This window comes from Homo sapiens, chromosome 1 (assembly GCF_000001405.40).
Source record: "Homo sapiens chromosome 1, GRCh38.p14 Primary Assembly".
Lineage (NCBI taxonomy): Eukaryota > Metazoa > Chordata > Mammalia > Primates > Hominidae > Homo > Homo sapiens.
Genome location: NC_000001.11, coordinates 88,457,380 through 88,477,368, shown reverse-complemented (window position 1 = coordinate 88,477,368; position 19,989 = coordinate 88,457,380). Strand labels below are relative to the sequence as shown.

The window sequence follows — 19,989 nt, the reverse complement described above, 5'->3', positions numbered from 1 at the left end:
GGAGATGATTCAGTCCATACCATACTATAAGTTTTAAAACAGGAGTTCATAATGTTTTTTGGTGCCAAAAAACTTGTGGAGTCCCTCCCAGAATAAAGTTTACAAACATATACATTACATAGGATTATGAAGAAAACTAATTAAATGTAAAAGCAGTTGGCAAATTGTTAAAACACTGTGATACAGAAACAGATGTGTTTCTTTATTATTAATACATTAAATAACATGCTCTAGTGGTTTCTCTAATAACCACCATAATTTTGATATAATGATGGATAAAACTGATATTTTGAAATATTTGTAGTAACTGTAATAGAATTTGAAAATGTCTGTGATTTTTATTGGTGACAAATTACAGGTATTGCTAATACTATTGTGATTGATTCTTAACATTCATAATGGAAGAAAATGCAAAATTTTAGTTAGAAGTTACTAAAATGAAAGCACAATTTTTGTTTTTATCCAAATTTGAAGACTTTAAAAATGTTATGCATGAACCCCAAGTTAAGAATCCCTAGACAGGTTACCTTTTAAGATGTGTTTTCAACCAAAAAAACTGTTTTAATAATTTAACAATGCTATGATCATAAAAATGTCAGTTATTATTATACTTAAGAACAAATAATTGTTCATTATTATTATTATTATTATTTTTTGAGATGGAGTTTCACTCTTGTCATGCAGGTTGGAGTGCAATGGCGCGATCTTGGCTGACTGCAACCTCCGCCTCCTGGGTTCAAATGATTCTTCTGCCTTAGTTTTTTGAGTAGCTGGGATTACTGGCACCCGCTCCCACACCCAGCTAATTTCTGTATTTTTAGTGGAGATGGGGTTTTACCATGTTGGCCAGGCTGGTCTTGAACTCCTGACCTCAGGTGATCTACCTGCCTTGGCCTCCCAGAGTGCTGGGATTACAGGTGTGAGCCACCGTGCCTGGCCTCATTATTTTTGTTATAGAGCAGTTTAAAAAAATATTTTAAAAGTTATGGGTTTCAACTAGAGCTGAATGGACTGCTAATTATGTAAGGTAGGGTTAAAATGATAAAATTATTTTAATAAGTAACTCCACTTTTGAAGGGATTATAACAACGTTTTAAAATTTACCTGCCAAATACAGACATACTTCTTTTTCATAACTGACTGATTTAGGAAAGCTATATATTCTGTGGGTATTACTAAAATTCCCATCAAGGAAAAGATAAATCTGGGTTCACTCCATATGAAATAGGGCATCTATGATTTTATCTCTCAGTAGTTTCTGAGTTTGGTCCTTTCAGAAAAAGAAAATGTGTTTCCTTACTAGAGACAAAAGACTGCTTCCCAAATAAACCAACCTAAGAGGAGGCTGTATCTTCAGGAAGCATGGTTGGAATGTTGAGATCTACTTTAGTAAAATTATAAGAAGCCTTTAGGGAGTTAAGTTCTAGGCAAAGAATTTGGGGTACATTTTAAAATTTTTAAATAGCCAGAATGTGTTAAGGGGCAGAAGGCTTGATGACCTGAATAAGTTAAAAAATACTTTAATCCCAGAGGCATACTCAGCCTGTAGTTTCTTTCAGCACAAGAAAGACACGTAACAAGAAAACCAACCAGGCCTATTCAGGCTAAGCTTGAGGACACAGGGCCTTTTCAATGAAATGAGCATTTAGCATTTGTGACTTCCTATTCTGTGTTCCTGTCCTCCAAATCTACAAAAAAAGATTTGGCCTCTTCATTTGTATTTATCTTTTTAGGTATTTTATCATCAAATAGAAGAACCTATAACAATGCTAATTTGTGTGGCACCCAAAACTTTTTGAAGGAATGTGTTGGTCTTCATTGTGTTTACTGATCAGATGATACAATAGAGACTCCAGAGGTTTAGTGGCTTGGCTAAGACCACAGAACTAGAACGTTGCAGTATCAGTATTAAGATAGAACCTAAGTTATTCGTGTCCAAATCCCATGTCCTTTTTACTAGAATCTGTGGCCTTATTTAAAGCCACTGTAAGGAATAGACAGTCCCTCACTTTCAATAAATATTAATCAAAAAGCTACCGTGTGACAAGTAATGTGCCATGCACTTGCATTATGGTCCTGAACAAAACAGACATGGTCTCCACCTATGTGAAATTTACAATTAAGTGGGGCAGGTTTGAACTACATAATTATAGTAAGGTGTGATGATGCAAGTGTGCTACTTAGGGGCTGTTTCTTTTTTAATGTATGTCAATACTTGAGCATACTGAGTAGTGACTTTCCTAGTATCTGTCTCACTGCATATGCACATAGCCTCATCATTCAGAATATGGACTTTGGAGTCTTTCTGCCTGGCTTTAAATCCTTGCTCCATCATGTACTTGCTGTGTGATCTTGGCCAAGATTCTTAACCTCCTGATCCTTCACCTTCTTCATCTGTAAAATATGATACAATATACCTACCTCAAAGAGCTATTGTGGAGATATAGTCAGATAATCTATTTAAAATGCTTAGAATAGTGCCTATTACACAGTAAGTATAGAAAAAATGGTATCTATTATGATTGTTATTGTTTATTCTTTCCTTAGCATGCAGCAAGTATTCCCTTGAACTTGCTCTCATAGTTTGCCCTGGGTTAATGTACATAGCTAATATTTGCTAATTCTGATGCCATCTGTAGTCCTGGCTAGGCCCTGATGTTTTGGTTTCAAAGTGAAGTGCCTTTGCAAGTCTTATATCAATCTGATCTGGTCCATTTCATAAAGCTCTGCCTAATATTCCGGTTAAGAATCAGCTTTTCACCTTTAGTCTTAAAGAAAGCAGAGATGGGTCTCAGATCTTTGTTGAAATTCTGCAATATGCAATTTAAAGTTAGATTGACCTTCAAGCTGACAAAGTAAAATAAACAATTTTATAAATGAAAATGGCTAATCTGAAATAGATCACAGCTAAGAACTTCATTTTTTATTCATTCTCTTCATAGAAGAGTGATATCATACAAGTGAACATCTAATATTGTACTTCATTGTGGTGCTCAGTGAAGATGCAGTTAGAGGAAATTAAGGACACAATGAATTGGCAGAAACCGGAGAATAAGTCTATAGTCCCTTATTTCAGTTACTTTATTTAAATGTGGGTATGTCTGATTTAAAAAAAAATAGTTGCTACATAAAATTTTGCTGTTGGATTTTTTAATCTTTTGAACTGTTCTGGTTTCCTAGAAATCAACTTTCACTGAAGATTTTTTTTTTTAATATGTAGAAGAAGCTCACATACTTCAGGAAAACCGCATGAAAAGTACCCAAGGTTAGTTGCTTCAAACTCACATCTCTTTAAGTGTACTCTGTGACAATTTTAATTTTTTTCAGGAAAGAAAATCTATTAATTAAGAGCTCAAATATTTAACAGAGAAAATACAGTGAAAGGAAACAATAATTTTTTTCAATAACATGAGAAAATAAAATCACATGATCTAAACATTTCCTCCCAGCTGTCTGCATGGTAAGTCTAGTACCTTTGTGGACTTAAAGGAGAAGCTTTAAGACTGGACTAAGGGCTGTGCTCACTGGGCAATCTGGGCAATCGACCCTTGTTCTGGTTCTGCAGCTTTAAGTTCAGGGAAGACTGGACCAGGCTGTATTAGCAGGGAAAGGCTGAGGGTGATAAATAAGCACTGTACTCATGCCTCACCAGACTGTACTGAACTGTGTAGTCATATTATACATGGTATACTACTGAGATTGATGGGCTAGAAGAGGTGGTCCCCTGCACATTGCCAGAGCAGCCTCTTTGTAGGTCTTTATGCACGCGTGTGAACACATACACACACACACGAAGCTCAGCTTGTAGGGGAGCACTCTATAAAGTCCCAGTAAGACACACTGGGTCTCACTCTCACTCATGTTATCATCTTGGATCTTTGATTTCTGGGTCCAGAAGCTCACAACTCCAGCTGTCCTGGGAAATATGGTTTATCCCTTTTGCACTTATTTTCTTCTGCACATCTTTGAAAGTAACTCTTCTTGGTTTACCAAGTGGTATCTGTGTCTAATCTTTCTATTTAGTTGAATATGACATTTTTAATATGATAGTTTTATGAGTTTCAAGTCATAGATGCTTAATAAAAGTGAACTGAATTATACTCAGTTTAAGGTAAAATAAGTATGTTCAAATGATGCACCATCGAAATCTAGAACTATTAAAAGTATGTCTAAATAAATTAAATCCAAATTCCATAACAATTGAAAAAATAGGCGGAGATTCTAGGAATGATATCTAACATAAACATGTATTTAGTTACTGATCTATATTCATATCTAAAAGTCCAACCTTCTTATGCAGTGTACTCTTGGTATTCCTAGAACACTGAGTTCACGTAATGTGTTGTTTTTTCCTTTCACTTTTTGTGTTAACTTTCCAAAAGGGACACAACCAAAATATCATCATTGATTTAAATCTCTCTGGAGACACCCTGTACCACTGATTGTCTCTTCCTTCCAATTCTCTGCAGAAATTCAGTGTCCAGATGTTTCAGAATCCAGATGGCCTAAGAATCCTCTATCACCCAGAAAGGAGGAAAATGTGCATGAAAGTGGAACATTTAAAAGAAAAAAATAATTTAGCTTTGGCTATGTAATGACAACATACAGAGCTTGAGAAAAAGCTTCTTTTCCTAAAGCAGCAACTTAATAAAAGGCATGTTATAGGCTTTATCAGTAAGCCAAAATTTCAGCCTTGCCTCTTCTTCCCATCACCATTAAGAGGCTTGCAGAGGTCCACACTCTTTAAAGGGCAGACAGCATGGAAGAACTATCATGTACAATTTGAAGTAGCAGCTAAAATTGGAATGGTCACGAGAAAGCCTGTTTCTTTGCAATTAAATTGACAAGCTGTCTATGATTACCCTAGGGAACTTGGCAGCTGAGTGATAAAAAGACTGCAGTGTGTTGAAAGGTCTAACGCAACTTACTAGGTGGACAAAGACCACATCTGCTTAACATACTGATTGGGAGAGTTGTGGAATGTACTTGGCTACATTAGCTGAGGAGAGATACTAAGGATACTTTTTCCTCTCTAAGACCCTGTGCTTAGAACCTGTTGTAGAAACTACCCACAAATATTTGGAAGCATGTATGAAAAACAGTTTAGCACAATATCTGATGTTATTCAGCATGAACCTACCATTACAAATCACCAGAATTGAGCAGAAGTTTAGAAAGAAATAATAATTAAAAATGCCTTTAATCTAATTATGTTTGTGAAATTGTATATACTTGATACAAAAATTGGGTACTTGAGAAGATTTATTGTGATAACAATAAATGAAAGAAAATGCATGATTTAATACAAAATACTAGGCAATAATTACTTGGGATATTCATCAGTGGAGAGTCCTTGAGTTGGGCAACACTGAAACTTAGGTTATAAAGGAGAAAACAATAACCAGCTTTGGGGTGGTAGCAATTTGTGAAGACTAACACACCGATTTCAGCAATGTCTTCTTAATTTTGTTATATTCCTTAAAAGGGCAAATGCATGTAAAAAGCAAATGTTTCTTCTAATAGATTTAACAGATACTAGTAGCACTCTACACTAAGTAAATAGAGGACGACCATGTCTACTTGCCTATCAGTTCTTTCTGAAGCCCAAGAACCATTTATTTCAGCAATCTTGAAAAATAGTTTGTGACTACTTCCAAAGGAGGATTACCATTGGAAGGGTTTTTGAAGTAGAAGTGTATTATGTACTCCCTTGGCTTTACTTCAAAAACCAGAGATTTTCCAATGAGCTGGCCATCACTGACTGGTCTTTGAGACCAGACCATGTGTTACTTCAACAAAATTATTCAAAGCTCAAAGTCATTCAAATGCTCAATGATGTCAACACTAGACAAAGGTTCCTCAATATTATTTTCAGATTAACAAAACAATAATATCTTATATTAGTATAACACATTACATTTTACCAGATGATTTTATATCTAAAATGACTTTTCTTCTTCCCCTTAACAACCCCGTGGAGTAGATTTTGTCGTCCCCATTTTAAAGATGGAGGAAGGGAAGGAAGTTCAGAAAGACTGAGTGACTTGCCTAGAATCACATAGTAATTGGCAGAGCTAAGTGTCTTTGCACTGCAATCAAAGGAAGATGGAGAGCAGAGCCTAATGTGGAAGATAGCATGAGATGTTTAAAAAAGTCCCTCATTTGCAAAACCTAAGTCAACACATTTGTGTAAACTGAACATTCAGACTTCCCTTTTAGGATAACTGGATGAGATGATATATGTCTGCTGATGCCTTCAGCCAGACTCTTAAGAATGTGAATCTAATTATTGAGGAAAAAATACTTGTACTCGTTCCTCCCATTATGTTGAAGGTTATAGGCTTATGTACTCATTACTTGCCTTTTCTAAGAAAATGTGCATCTGGTAAGAGGCTGCTATACCATTCATTGCTTTTTCCAAATGCCCCACTGCTACGAGCTAGTACAGTGCCTTGTACAAAAGTTGGGTTGAATAAATGCTTTTTGATGCTAATTATCATTTCTGACAGATAGTAACCAAGTCGTACTCCAAAACAATACTTTGCGATTCATCCAACTCTTGATTATTCACTGGAAAGAGGGGCTAGAAACAGCATGGATAATTGAAATCCACAGACAAACATAAACCTAACTTTACAAATAGCTTCAATCTCCTCCCTCAGTAAACCTTTAACTGGAGCTAACATAATTAGGTTGACTGGTTTGAGCTGGTTAAATGATATTTAGTGTCAAAAAGTATTTATTCAGCCCAACTTTTCTACAAGTTTGGGCTTTATCTTCCTCCACCTCCACTCTGGTTGAGGTACTGCTAAGTGGAAAAATAGTTTAAAAAATAGCTAACAGGGCGGGTGAATCACCTGAGGTCTGGAGTTTGAGACCAGCCTGGCCAACATGGTGAAACCCCATCTCTACTAAAAATACAAAAAACTAGCCAGGCATGGTGGCGGGCAACTGTAATCCCAGCTACTCGGGGCGAGGAGGCAGGAGAATCACTTGAACCTGGGAGGCAGAGGTTGCAGTGAGCTGAGATCGCGCCATTGCATCCAGCCTGGGCAACAAGAGTGAAACTCCATCTCAACAACAACAAAAAAAAGTAGCTACCAGAATTAATAAAATCAAGAGTTCACTCAAGTAAAACATCTCTTTTGACAACTGCGCTATGTGCAGGTACTTAATGCTTTTTAAGAAGACAGATATACAGCGATAAAAATATATCATCCACCTTACTCTTCTACTTCTTTTGCTGACCCACATCACAATCCTGCAGTTACTTAACTACTTTCATACCCGTCTTGTGTATTAAGCCATTTCTTAATGTTATTCATTCATTTATTCTAAATTAGCCAATAAACTTCTGGCAGTAGGATGGACACAAAGTCCTTCCAAAAATGTAGCATAGTGTGAGATCAAGATCCAGAATAAAGTTTAAATATATATGTTTAAACTTACATATATGTGTGTGTGTATATTTAGTTACAGTAATATTGGCTGTATTGACAAGCCTTCAAAAATGGTCAGGCCACTTAATACATTTACAAAAACATTACCTTCTACCCAAGGAAAGTGATGATATGTGAAAGTGATGATAAGTGAAGATACAATGAAAATTATTTAGAATCTTTATTTTACAACAGTAGTACATGGAATTTAAATACAAGGTAGTTGTACACACTAGTTTGTCTCAGGGGATACTTATAAGAACTGGAAACACAAACTGAATAAACACTGGTTCTTTACCAATATCCGTTTCCCCTTTTTTCCTTACCTGGATTTGTCTGGGACAACTACGTGCCCAGTTAAAATTTCTCACTTCCCCAGATTCTTTTACAGTTAAGGCTGTGTGACGTAGTTTACCCAATAATTTGTATGCAAAACCTTACCAGGTGAGGCCCTGGGCAAGCTATTATTTTCCTATAAAAAGGGACAAACTCAGATCACACACACCTTTGCCCCTTCTTTATTCTTTCTGCTTAGAATGCAGAAAAATGCATGGAGGTAAAGCATCCATCTTATGACTATAAGGAAAAAAGCTACATGGTAAGGATGATGAACAAGAGAGAGAAAATTAGGTCTCTGATAGAATTGTGGGGCTGCTGAACTAGCCCTCACATGCCTCCCCTTAAAAGAAAAACAAATCCTTATTTGGTTAAGCCATTTTAGTAGGGTTCCTGTTACAGGTGAAGGTAATAGAGTCTGGCACACAGGCTTGTTAGAGCATTGTCTCTGCAGATAAAGGTTCGTGGCACTCTACTGTGGCAGTCACTTTTACATTTTCTTCATATCCCTTAAAGTTATAACACACTCCAGCTGTAGTTTCCTGCAGCTATTGATCATATGTTTGTTGGACAATCCTCTCAGGCTACAGTGATGTTTATAATGCCAATCACAAGGTCCAAGAATTTCCACCAATTACTAATTGCCTGATAATTTTAATATTTGTTTCTTAATGGCATCTCAAGCCACTGTGAAACTTGTAATCTAATGCCCAGAGTGAAACATGTAGATATTTAGGTATACATAGATATATATCTAAAATATTTCCAATATACAGTATATAGCAACTTAAGAAATCAACGTTGTATAGGAGAATGCTGAACAAGGTATGTTCAATGAGAAGGTCATTCTGTGGGACAATCTAGAATGAAGTATGTGATTGTCAATAGCCTACTAGAACTGTTAATAAGGGAGCCTCTTCACACCTGTTGAAGGTGAGGGATTATAGCATTTGTGGTTGGAAAAAAAATCATCACAAAATTAACAACGAGGTTATGAATTAAGCTACCACATAATTTTCCCATTTTTCTTCTCATGACACCATCCCAGAACTTTTAGGCTCAGCTATTGCATTTACTACATTACCTAAACGTTATTTGTGTACACGTAGGTACCCAGGTGGGGGAAAACTCCTGGAAGGCAGTGCCCATATTTATTCACCCGTTTCCTGAGTGTCTGTCTGTCACATGGTGGGTGCTCAGTACACATTGATTGAATCAAATCTGGTGTGGTAGCGTGTCCAGAATTGGTGGGTTCTTCGTCTCACTGACTTAAAGAATGAAGCCGCAGACCCTCACGGTGAGTGTTACAGTTCTTAAAGGCGGCATGTCTGGAGTTTGTTCCTTCTGGTGTTGGGATGTGTTTGGACTTTTTCCCTTCTGGTGGGTTCATGGTCTTGCTGGCTTCAGGAGTGAAGCTGCAAACCTTCATGGTGAGTGTTACAACTCACAAAGGCAATGTGGACCCAAAGAGTCAGCAGCAGCAAGATTTATTGCAAAGAGCCAAAGAACAAAGCGCTCACAGAGTGGAAAGCAACCCCAGCAGGTTGCCACTGCTGGCTAGGGCAGCCTGCTTTTATTCTCTTATCTGGCCCCACCCACATCCTGCTGATTGGTCCATTTTACAGAGAGCCGATTGGTCTGTTTTACAGAGAGCGGATTGGTCCGTTTTGACAGGGTGCTGATTGGTGTGTTTACAATCCCTGAGCTAGACACAGAAGTTCTCCACCTCCCCACTAGATTAGCTAGATACAGAGTGCTGATTGGTGTATTTACAAACCCTGAGCTAGACACAGAGTGCTGATTGGTGCATTTTCAAACCTTGAGCTAGATACAGCATGCTGATTGGTGTATTCACCATCCCTTAACTAGACAAAAAGATTTTCCGAGTCCCCACCAGATTAGCTAGATACAGAGTGCCCATTGGTGCATCCACAAACCCTGAGCTAGACACAGGGTGCTGACTGGTGTGTTTACAAACCTTGAGCTAGATATGGAGTGCTGATTAGTCTATTTACAATCCCTTAGCTAGACATAAAGGTTCTCCAAGTCCCCACTAGACTCAGGAGCCCAGCTGGCTTCACCTAGTGGATCCGGCACTGGGGCCCCAGGTAGAGCTGCCTGCCAGTCCCGCGGTGCGCCCGCACTCCTCAGCCCTTGGGCAGTCCATGGGACCGGGCGCCGTGGAGCAGGGGGCGGCGCTCGTCCAGGAGGCTCAGGCTGCACAGGAGCCCACGGCGCCGGGGGCTGGGGAGGCTCAGGCATGGCGAGCTGCAGGCCGCGAGCCCTGCCCCGCGGGGAGGCAGCTAAGGCCCGCGAAAAATCGAGCGCAGCGCGGGTGGATTGGCCCAGCTGGGGTACCTGGCGCACCCCCCGCAGCTGCTGGCCCCGGTGCTAAGCCCCTCACTGCCCGGGGCCGGGCCGGGCCGGGCCGGCCGGTTGGCAGCTCCGAGTGCGGGGCCCGCCAAGCCCACGCCCATCCGGAACTCTAGCTGGCCTGCAAGCGCGGCGCGCAGCCCCAGTTCCCGCCCGTGCCTCTCTCCACACCTCCGGGCAAGCTGAGGGAGCAGGCTCCGCCCTCAACCAGACCAGAGAGGGGCCCCCACAGCGCAGTGGCGGGCTGAAGGGTTCCCCGAGCATGGCCAGAGCGGACACTGAGTCCGAGGAGGCACCAAGAGCGAGCGAGCGCTGCAAGGGCTGCCAGAACGCTGTCACCTCTCAATAGGAAAAAAGTAAGAGTAGAATTTAGAATTGCAAGCTTTTCTTTTGATTCATTTTCTTTATGGTTTTCCAGTTAGAGGGAAGGGTAAATAACAGGGCAGATACAGGGGTTTTGACACTTGCTTTTAGCGGGTGGTAAATAAATCCTGGGAAATCCTGAACAAATCGGGGAAGATAAATAATTTGTGCTTTAGCTTGGGAGGAGCATAGATGGCAAAATTACCACGAAAAAGGACGAATAACCAGTAGGGGAAAATCTTTACTCGTTTAAAGTGTCTGTATATCCATAAATTATTCTTTAAATGGCTTGTGGGTATCCTACTTAAATATTGCCTTCTTTAGTTTATATGCTAATTTCTTAATCATTTCTGAGTAGTTTAATAAAATTTTCCGTTTCTGTAAGAAAAGTTTAATTGAATGGGAAAACATAATAGTTGTAGATAATTATGACTAGGGGAAACTTGCTATTTGGACCATGAGCTCACAACAAAGACATCATTATTCATTAGAGATAAATTATTTGTGAGGAAATAACTCTCGATTATGTGCAAATTCAGTCTATAAACAAACCGAACATCATAGGATATGAGTAGTTTCATTTGCCAGATTACCAACAATTTCTGCCTGATGCTCTGTGTAAGATGAGCTGGCATCTAACTCTCCTTTAACGATCTTTGAATTTTTTAAGAATCAGACAATGGTTTATGATGTGTGTTGTCACCATCAGTTAATCATGGTATCCAGTCAACCAGAACACCATATTTTGTACCCATGCAGAATTCAGCTAGATTTCAGGCTCCATGAGTACAGCTTTTGCAAGTGATGAAGACCCACACGGCATCCCAGAACCCAGGGTTTCAGAAACATTGTTGCAAAATTTACCTGCTGAGAGAGCATTAGGTCCTTGCCCAAACTGGTTAGTCTTATTTAAAAACAAAACAAACAAATTAAAAAAAGAGAAAAAAACCCAAGGAGTTGGCAATAAAAACGTACTTACTTTTCCATCACTTTAATGGTAGCCAGGAATAATTAGAACAAAGCATGACTGTTCAATTAGCTTTCAAGACTGACCAATTGAACTAAAATTTATTTTTATTACATTTGGGTAGCGTAGACCTTTCCAAATGTGGCTGTTTTCAAGTAACAACAAAGATCATTCCTTTCTTTTATAAAAGTTAATAAGCTGAGGAACACCGCAGAACACATTCTTATTTTATGCATTAGGGGGATTTGAAATGGAAATCAACAATTCTCAGAGTTTCTCTTCGGAGCCCTTCCCAATGACCAATTCCAAATCCTAACTAGGAAAGTGGCATATTCCATGGGCTTGCACTAGAAGGGGGATAAGAAAGCCTGAATTTTCTCTCCCTGGCATTGAACTGCTAGGTGACATTGGGTGGCATACTTCTACATCTAGGGTCTGACTGGTTTTAGGACACTCTCTGAGCAGATGAAGCACCGTTGACACGCATCAGGCCCTGGCATTCTCATCATGCCCTGGGATGAAACTCTCACAACGGCCTACATTTCACCTTGACTGCAGCCATTCCTTGTGTCTCTCCGTCCTTCCAGTAGTTCATTCTCACGAGACAGTTTATCACCCTTTATTCCTCAGAAGTGTTGCACATAAACAATCTTCCGGATACCAATTCTCTCATAGGCCCTTCTTCACGTTCTGTCCTTTGGTCTGTCTACAAACACTCCCAGGGACTTTTTCTTTCTTCTCATGGTATAATTTTGACCCCATGTTTAAGATCTTAAAAGCCACTTACTTTCTCTCCACAGTCCTTATTTTGCCAGAGTCGTCTTCTGCACAACCTCTGCCGTTCCCCTGGCTTCCCTATTACCATCAGGCTCTTGCTCTTTGAAACTCGTTCTATCACCTGGATTTATCATTTCGAACCGTTCCCACATTCTATTCATTTTCCTGGAATGTTGCTGTTGAGTCCTGTTCCCATTTCCTTCCTTTGCTCTCCATAAGAGGCTGGAGGTGGGGAGAGACCACAGGTCTGGAAAGAAAGACCTGGAAGATGGTGGTAGACCCATGTGAGAGTGGGCAGTTAATTAATTTTTCAGTCTCTGTTTTTTTCCCACATAAAGTGCGGGGGTTCCTATTTCTTTGTACTTAGGAGAGTCAGGGAAACACAAAGTGATTGTTACACTAGAGACACTAACCACAACACAAGCCATTTGCTTAGCAAAAACAAGAAAATCACAGGTTTATTTGATGACATGGCAATGCGAAAGATGGAATTTGGGGCTATCAGCCTAAGTAACTAACAGAGAGAGGCTGTCTAAAAGGAAATTACATTTATTTGGGAACAGAGCATTGGAATGGGAATACACATGCCATAGTAAACTACAGGCATGCAGGGAGGTAAAGAAAGACAAAGGCTTTTAAAGGAAAAATGAGGATTATATCATTGTTTTGAGATAATTATCCTTGGCTATGAAGACCCATAACAATAGCAAGGGTGATGCCAGTCGAAGGTTGGATAGGCAGTCACTGGGCGGATGTTCTTGCTGAAGTATTTTTTGTGTAAGGTTGTAATCATTTTTGAGCAAGGACTGTGGTTTTTGCAGGGTCTTTTGTGATAGTTTTTGTTATCAGGCATTTATGCATGAGAACCTTTTTTTTCATAGCCTTCTGCAGCTATATTTGTCAGGGTTCTTTTAATTAATTAATTAATTAATTTTTTAACACAAGTGACTCCATTTTGTTTCTGACAACTTTCACAGGCTCAGGGCAGCATATTGGCTTTTTTTTTTTTTTTTTTTTTTGACACAGGAACAAGCTCATGGTTTATTAGATTGGATTAAAGCTGGTCGAGTTAAGTAGATTCAACTGGACTTCGCCAATGAAGTAAACATGAACTCTCTGCTTTTCCCAACTCAGTAGTGGAATTTTTAAGATACGTTTCACAGATGTCTAGGATCGGTTTCCATTCTGTAATAATGGGAAACAATCATGACCTTTATTTTAAACAAAAACCATTGTGGAGGTGGATCCAGGATGCAAACAAAAATTATGCATCATTTTGCATAGTTGACATGGTGCATTTGAAGCATAAAACATTGCACACACTATAAACAAATGAAAAGCTGGAGTCAGTCCTGTTAGGCCCGGGCTACGATTGATTGCAATCTGAGGGCTGTGAAGTAACAGTCTGGAACTATGGTTTATCAACAATTTCATTTTCCTGAGACAACTTTGTCCTAGAGAGCTGGTAAAGTGCAGCATTTCCATTGGAACAGGATAGTGTGTTTTTCAAAGTATTTTCAGTTTCATCGTCTCAAGTTTGCACTCAGCAAAGTTGCTTTCACAAACTCCTGCTTAAAACGTATATGGGCATAATAGCTTCCAGAGATTTTATTACCCCTAGAGTTAGCCCTGAGAAAAATACACTCGAAAATGTAAGTGGCAAACTGGAAAATGTTATTTTGATTCCAAAAAAAAAAAAAAAGACACAAAATCTGAAATACCCAGCTTACCTTTGTGGGTTGCTTTCTCTTTCCTTTTTTCTTCGAGGGAAGGGAATTGGTGGGGTGGGAAGCATCTTTATTTTTGCCTCCTGTTCTTTTCTGAATAGGCATTTAAAAGTGCATAATAAACTCATCCCTTTCAAGGCCCATCCTTTTTGTGTGATGGGGAGAAAGGAGGAGGAGGAGGGCCTGCGCTTTTACAGCGCCATTCCCCATTTCTCCAAGAGTGGCTGCTCGTGTGGGCTTCCCCGGCACCTCTCACCTCCTTTCCTGAAAAGAAAGTCCCAACTGCCCAGAATCCCAGACTCATCTAAGCGCGGGGGCACGCAGCCGACTGGCATTTGAGTCACCCACCACCTTCCCCAGCCGGCCAGCTAATTGTTTTGTCAGTTTATTCGGCGTCAAAGAAGTGAGCCCGGCCTGGTGGCGCATCCTGGGCCTCTCGCCATCGAGGCTCATCCTGGGCCTCCAGCCACCAAGGCGCGGGCCGGGAGCCCCGGCTGGAGATCAGGGGTGCCAGGGGCGCTGGGCGGCCGTCGCCCCGCTCGCGGCCCCGACGAAAGGCAGCGGCGAAGTGGTTAAGGAGCGAGCGCGCTGCTGCGGGGCGCGGGCGGGCCGGGCGGAGGCGCGCTCCGGCTGAGCGGCGCCCGCGGCAGCCCCAGCGGCAGCTGCGGCGAGAGGAGCGCGGGCGGCGCGGGGAGCGGGCAGGACGCGCCCAGAGACACGCAGAGAAAGGGCAGCGCCGCCGCCTGCTGCAGTCCTCGGCGCGGTTAATCACGCGCTCCCCTCTCGGTGCTGATTTGCAAGAGCAGATTAATCAGAGAGCGCGGCTTGATGAAATTTGCTGTTATTGTGCCCATTTTTAGCAACATCTTTTATTATCTTCATTATTCATTTACAGGGGACCGGCATCAATTATGCAAATGAGTTCACAGACTTTGCAGATTACTTCATTTGCCGCTATTGTTTGTGGAAATTTAATTATTAAATATTATTAAGCTTGCGTTTTCTTCAATTTTCCAAGGCTTAGTTTCATTTGATTTTTCCTCCAGCTGCTCTTCTTTCCTTTCAGTGCCAAAACAGCTCCTCATCAAAGCGGCTCTGGCATGTGAAGACCAAATAAAATCTCCTCAATTTAATAATTTTGATGTTAGTCCCTTGTTCTCAGCTGCTTGCTCAAAGCAATGCAGAGAGGAACGCAGAGCACATTCAATTTAATGAGCAGAAATTGAATTCAAGTTTGTTCGGAATTGACTTCAATTAAGCAGAGTCTTAATGATAAATTAATCTCTTTTCTTTATTCCCCAGAATTTGTTTTTCAAAGTAGGAAATTGGACTACATTGAAAGACCAAATAAAGAATACCAATTTTAACTAGATCATGGAACTGATAGCAAAATTTAATTCTTTATAGTAACGTTCTTGGACAAATAGCATTCTTTCTATGGCGTGTATTATAATTTATATTCATTGTTACCACTTACACTTACATGGCGTGGATAAAATGGCAGTTGAATTAAATATGGGCTTGTAATAGACTTCAGAGTTTTAATCTTTATTAAGAAACTCTAATTGAATGCATAATTAACTTTTCAGGCTTTAGGAAATTCGGTTTAATATCTATGTGAGCTGAAAACATTGATCAGGAATTTTCAAGCAATTTTTATGAATTTATTTTTGAGGAGAAATTATCAGGCTTACATAAAATGGCATTTTAAGCTGAATAGCAAGAATCCGAGAGGCGAGGAATTAGGTTCATCCTGTGTTGTTACAGACACCCAACCAGGGCTTCCTTGGAACCAGGGCCAACAATGGTAATTTTAAGTTCCTTTTATTAAAACCTCTAATGTTCCTCCAGGCCACCAAATCTATTATTCCTGTCCAGACCCTGCTGAAAATCAAACTCGCAGCTACTGGGGGATTTTAATGAGGGCGTCCATATTGATTGTTTGGTTACACTGTTTGGGTTTGCTGCCACTGTCAAAAATGTACCTGACATTTTTTTCACCTGAATCATGGATCATCTTTTCTGGAACATGCCGAGCATAATTCTCCATGCTCCAGTCTGCAAAGCACTCTATCTGCATATGCCAAATGTTATTATTGCAGTTCCTTCAGGAGTGACCTTAGAAGATGTTTGTTCCAAAGAACTTCAAGCTGTTCACTGTGGTATATTCATAGTCACAAATTTAAAATACATCAGTGAGAGAAAATACATTTAGGCTGTGTACTGTTTCCCAGAGTGCATGGGTTCCCTCTGCCTGCTTCCTGCTCCTTTCACATACTTGTTCTATTACTCTTGGCCACTCAGACATAGTGTGTGCAAATTCGACTTTGCTGTGAATTTTAAATTGAAATGCATGTGATGGAGATTATCTTCCTTGTTTGACAGTACAGTATCGTTATTCCCAGTACTTTCAGAGTCTACCTGCTCTATGTTAGAATTAAAGACTTATATAATAATAGAATTTAAAAATGGACAGGGCTCTTAAAAATCACCTGGTTCAACTCCTGTGTTGTATAGATGGTTTTATAGATGAGGAAACCGAGGTCCATGAATGTTATGTAATTTTCCCAAGGCCACAGAGTCAGCCAGAGACAGAGAGAGCTCTAAAACTTGCAGGTATACTAACTTCTGGACCAAGGAATTCTTTTTCACTATTCAAATTTTCCACTCCAAGTTATGTAGTGACATCTTTGAGTAAGTAGAAACTAGTTTAAAACAGACAGGAATTAATTTATTGTCTTGTTCAAACTGGGAAATATATGGATTAAAGTGCATAAAAGCACACACAAATGCGGTAAGCCTATTTATCTGCGTCTCAGACAATTGGGAAGCCTAAATAAACGGGATTGTTTTGTGCTCTGCTTTAGTGAGAGAGGAACAAATGAAAAGTTAATAGGCTAATATCAGAGTGTTTTTAAATAAAAAAAGCCAGAAACACTATAGTGCTATATGCTCTGTACATATGAAGTTGTATCTTTAATGGTGGGGGTTGGCAACATTTTAAATTACTATTTTCAGTATTTTTTTATCCCACCCCCACTGAGATGTGGGTATCCCAAACCCCTTTCGTTTCATTGCAATCTTTCATTTGTTTAACCTTAATGGGCTGAGAGCACCAGACAATTTGCTAGATGTTGAAAATATAAAGACTGATAAGTCTGGTAAGGAGGTTACAGTGTAGCTAGTGGGGGAAAACACTTATTATTGTATGAAATAATTATTGTATGAAATAGCAAATGTTCTAATGTGTGCACAGAGCACTGAAGGGCCACACTGGGGGTATCTAAGGCAGACCAGGAAACCTAGGAAAAACTTCTCCATGCAGTGATTCCTTGAGCCCTGCCTCCAAAGGCAGCTTACCAAAGTGAAGAAGGCGGTGGTAGCATGGGGTAGGGTGGATGCAAGGAAGGCTTCACCAGGTAGGAGGAAAACCCTGTGGATGGATGGCTGAAGTTTTGTGCCAGGAAATGTTGGGCAGTTGAATTACAAGGCCGAGGGTCAGGAGACCCTTAAGTCTTTTTTGTATTAAGGATAAGTCATTTAACCTTTCAGTTTGGAGGGCCTGTCTAAGTAGCTTCACTGAGTACAGATATTCCTTGAATCATGGTTATCTCATTTTCATCGCTTATTAACTAATATATTAGTTATTGCTTAGTACTTCAGCAGTTGTTAGCTGGAATGTAAAGGAGGTTAGAGGAATTTGGAGGATGGAATGGGGACAGGAAATGGGAGGACGAAAAGAGAATGAGGAATGAAGACACTGATGAAGGTGGGAAGGAGGTTCCTGAAATAAACTGTCTATCCCGAGCTTTGTCTAGAATTTGAAACCTTGGTTTGTTAAAATCATCTCTGCCCCTTCTGTTCACTGATAATGGCTAGAATTTTACAACTTCTACCTCAGAAACACTATATAGTAAGAATTTGTAAAGTTTGTAATGAACGACTCTGTAAGAGCTCAATGCCCCAATGAAATCAAAACAGATAAAGTTGTATATTATGTCTTGTTGGAGTATCGTACTAATTTTTTAAGAATCAGCCTTCAATTTTTTGGTGAGCAGAGTTGCTCAGTTAATTAGATCATTGAATTAATCAGAATACTGCATTTCCCCACCATTCTAAATAAATTAGCTTACTAAGTCTATTTTCTTACTTTCAGACCTATAAAATTGAGTTTTCAATCCTCTGTGTAGGAAAACTAAGGTAAATATTAAAGTAGCATACATAAAATCATTACAGATAAAACCAATGATATTTTCTTCCAATTAAGATAAAAAATTTCAGACACAGTTACATAATTTCAATGATAAGAGTTCATCGCGTTAAAAAATCGGTTTAAAGAATATGTTAAAGGAAGTATTAGAAAATTGAAAGTCTTAAGAGACGTGATATCACTTGAGAGTGAAGGTTATGTTTATTATTTATGCGTGATTCAATTCAGAGAGACTGATTTAAAGATCTGCTCGAGCTTCGGTTAAGGGTAAAAGAGTAAGGATTTTCTTCTGCACCTGTCACCTTAAGCTGAATGAAAACAACTGCTTGGAAAAGTTCTAAGTGTGTGTAAGGGCAACTTGCGTCCGAAATTATGGGGCTTTCAGATGGCCAGTGAATCTGGTGTAATGTTAGAACCCCCACTGATGGACGTTAGCCGGGGACCCTGATGAGAGAACATCTCTTCATTACTTTTCTTCTGAGGACTTCAGCAGTTGTCTTGTCAGTCTTGACCAATACACGTTTTCTGCCTTATTTATCAACTTTGCAACCCCAAATCCATCCACTGGGTTCTCTTGTCTTTGTGTTTGCATCTCTTACAGGTTCCTCTTGAAAGATCTCTCAGTTTGAGGCAATGTAAGTGCTATTTGGACTTTGTGTCTCTTTTCTTTCTGTGATAATCTAACTGCTTTGCGACTTATTCTTGTAGAATAAAACAGCTTTTCTAAACCCAGCATTCTTTACTGTACTTTCATGGTTAATTTAATTAGATGAAACCAACATTTATTGAATGAATTTTTGTAAGGCACCATCTGAAGGATCTTGAGAGCTACAAACATGGCCAGGAGGGCTACTGCGCCCTCAAGCAGTTCGTATGTGAGTGGTTAAGGTGACAGAGAAGGAAATACTTATCATCAATATAATAAGTGTTATAATGGAAACAGGGCTCTGAGGAAAGAAAGGGTAGGATCACTCAAGTAGGAAAGAAATGTAACCTGAGTGTTAAGGAATCAGCTGGAGTTTGTGAAGGCCCAGAAGGCAGCGATGGAGAAGAATGGCAAGGACATGGCTCTCCCAGTCAGATAGCTGGGTTAGGATCTGCTGCGTACCTGCTGAGCCAAGTGTTCCACCTCTGAAACTCAGTTGACAGAATGGCATCTACCTTGCAGAGCATGTGGTCATATACTCCATGTCTCTTAGAGTACCACCATCTGTACTTTGAGCAAGAGTACCAACATCTTGCTCAAAGTTCTTAGATTTGGAAAGGAAAGAATTTGGCCTCTGGGTACTATTTCTGCCCTATATTTTTCCCCTTCAGTGTGCCTAGAGGGAAGTCAAATTTCAGAGTGAAGTCTACATAGAGGCAGGAACTGGGGAACGGAGGAAAGTGGAAGTTCATACATGCTTGGCTTTGTGTGTGTGTGTGTGTGTGTGTGTGTGTGTGTGTGGTGTGTGTGTGGTGTGATCTGTGTATGGGTGTGTGATTGGTGTGTGTGTGGGTGTATGGTGTACATGGTGTGTGGTGTGTGTGGTATGTTTCGGGTGTGTGGTGTATGTGAGGTGTGTATGGTGTGCAGTGTATGTGTATGGTGTGTGTATGTGTGAGTGTGATGTGTGGTGTGTTTGGTATGTGGTATGCGCTTGGTGTGTGGGGTCTGTATGGTGTGGGGTGTGTGGTATGTTTGGGGTGTGCGGTGTGTGTGTGAGGCGTGTGTGGTGTGCAGTGTGTATATGGTGTGTGTGTGGTGTATGGTGGTGTGTATGGTGTGTGTAGTATGTCGTATGTGCATGGTGTGTA

General features: G+C 40.0%; 1 long non-coding RNA gene across 1 annotated transcript, besides 1 other annotated feature; it reads right to left on the bottom strand.

The window, feature by feature from the left end:
• Nucleotides 1-7,606: 7,606 nt before the first annotated feature.
• Nucleotides 7,607-14,481, bottom strand: LOC105378839 (uncharacterized). Its single transcript, XR_947573.2, has 2 exons — nt 13,986-14,481; nt 7,607-12,516 (listed from the first exon to the last, which is right to left on the bottom strand). It is a non-coding gene; the product is annotated as an uncharacterized LOC105378839 (long non-coding RNA).
• Nucleotides 14,544-16,256: an enhancer, noted in NCBI's record as "VISTA enhancer hs327". NCBI's record gives its function as "enhancer in: hindbrain (rhombencephalon)[8/10]" and the evidence as "EXISTENCE:transgenic organism evidence [ECO:0001131][PMID:17130149]".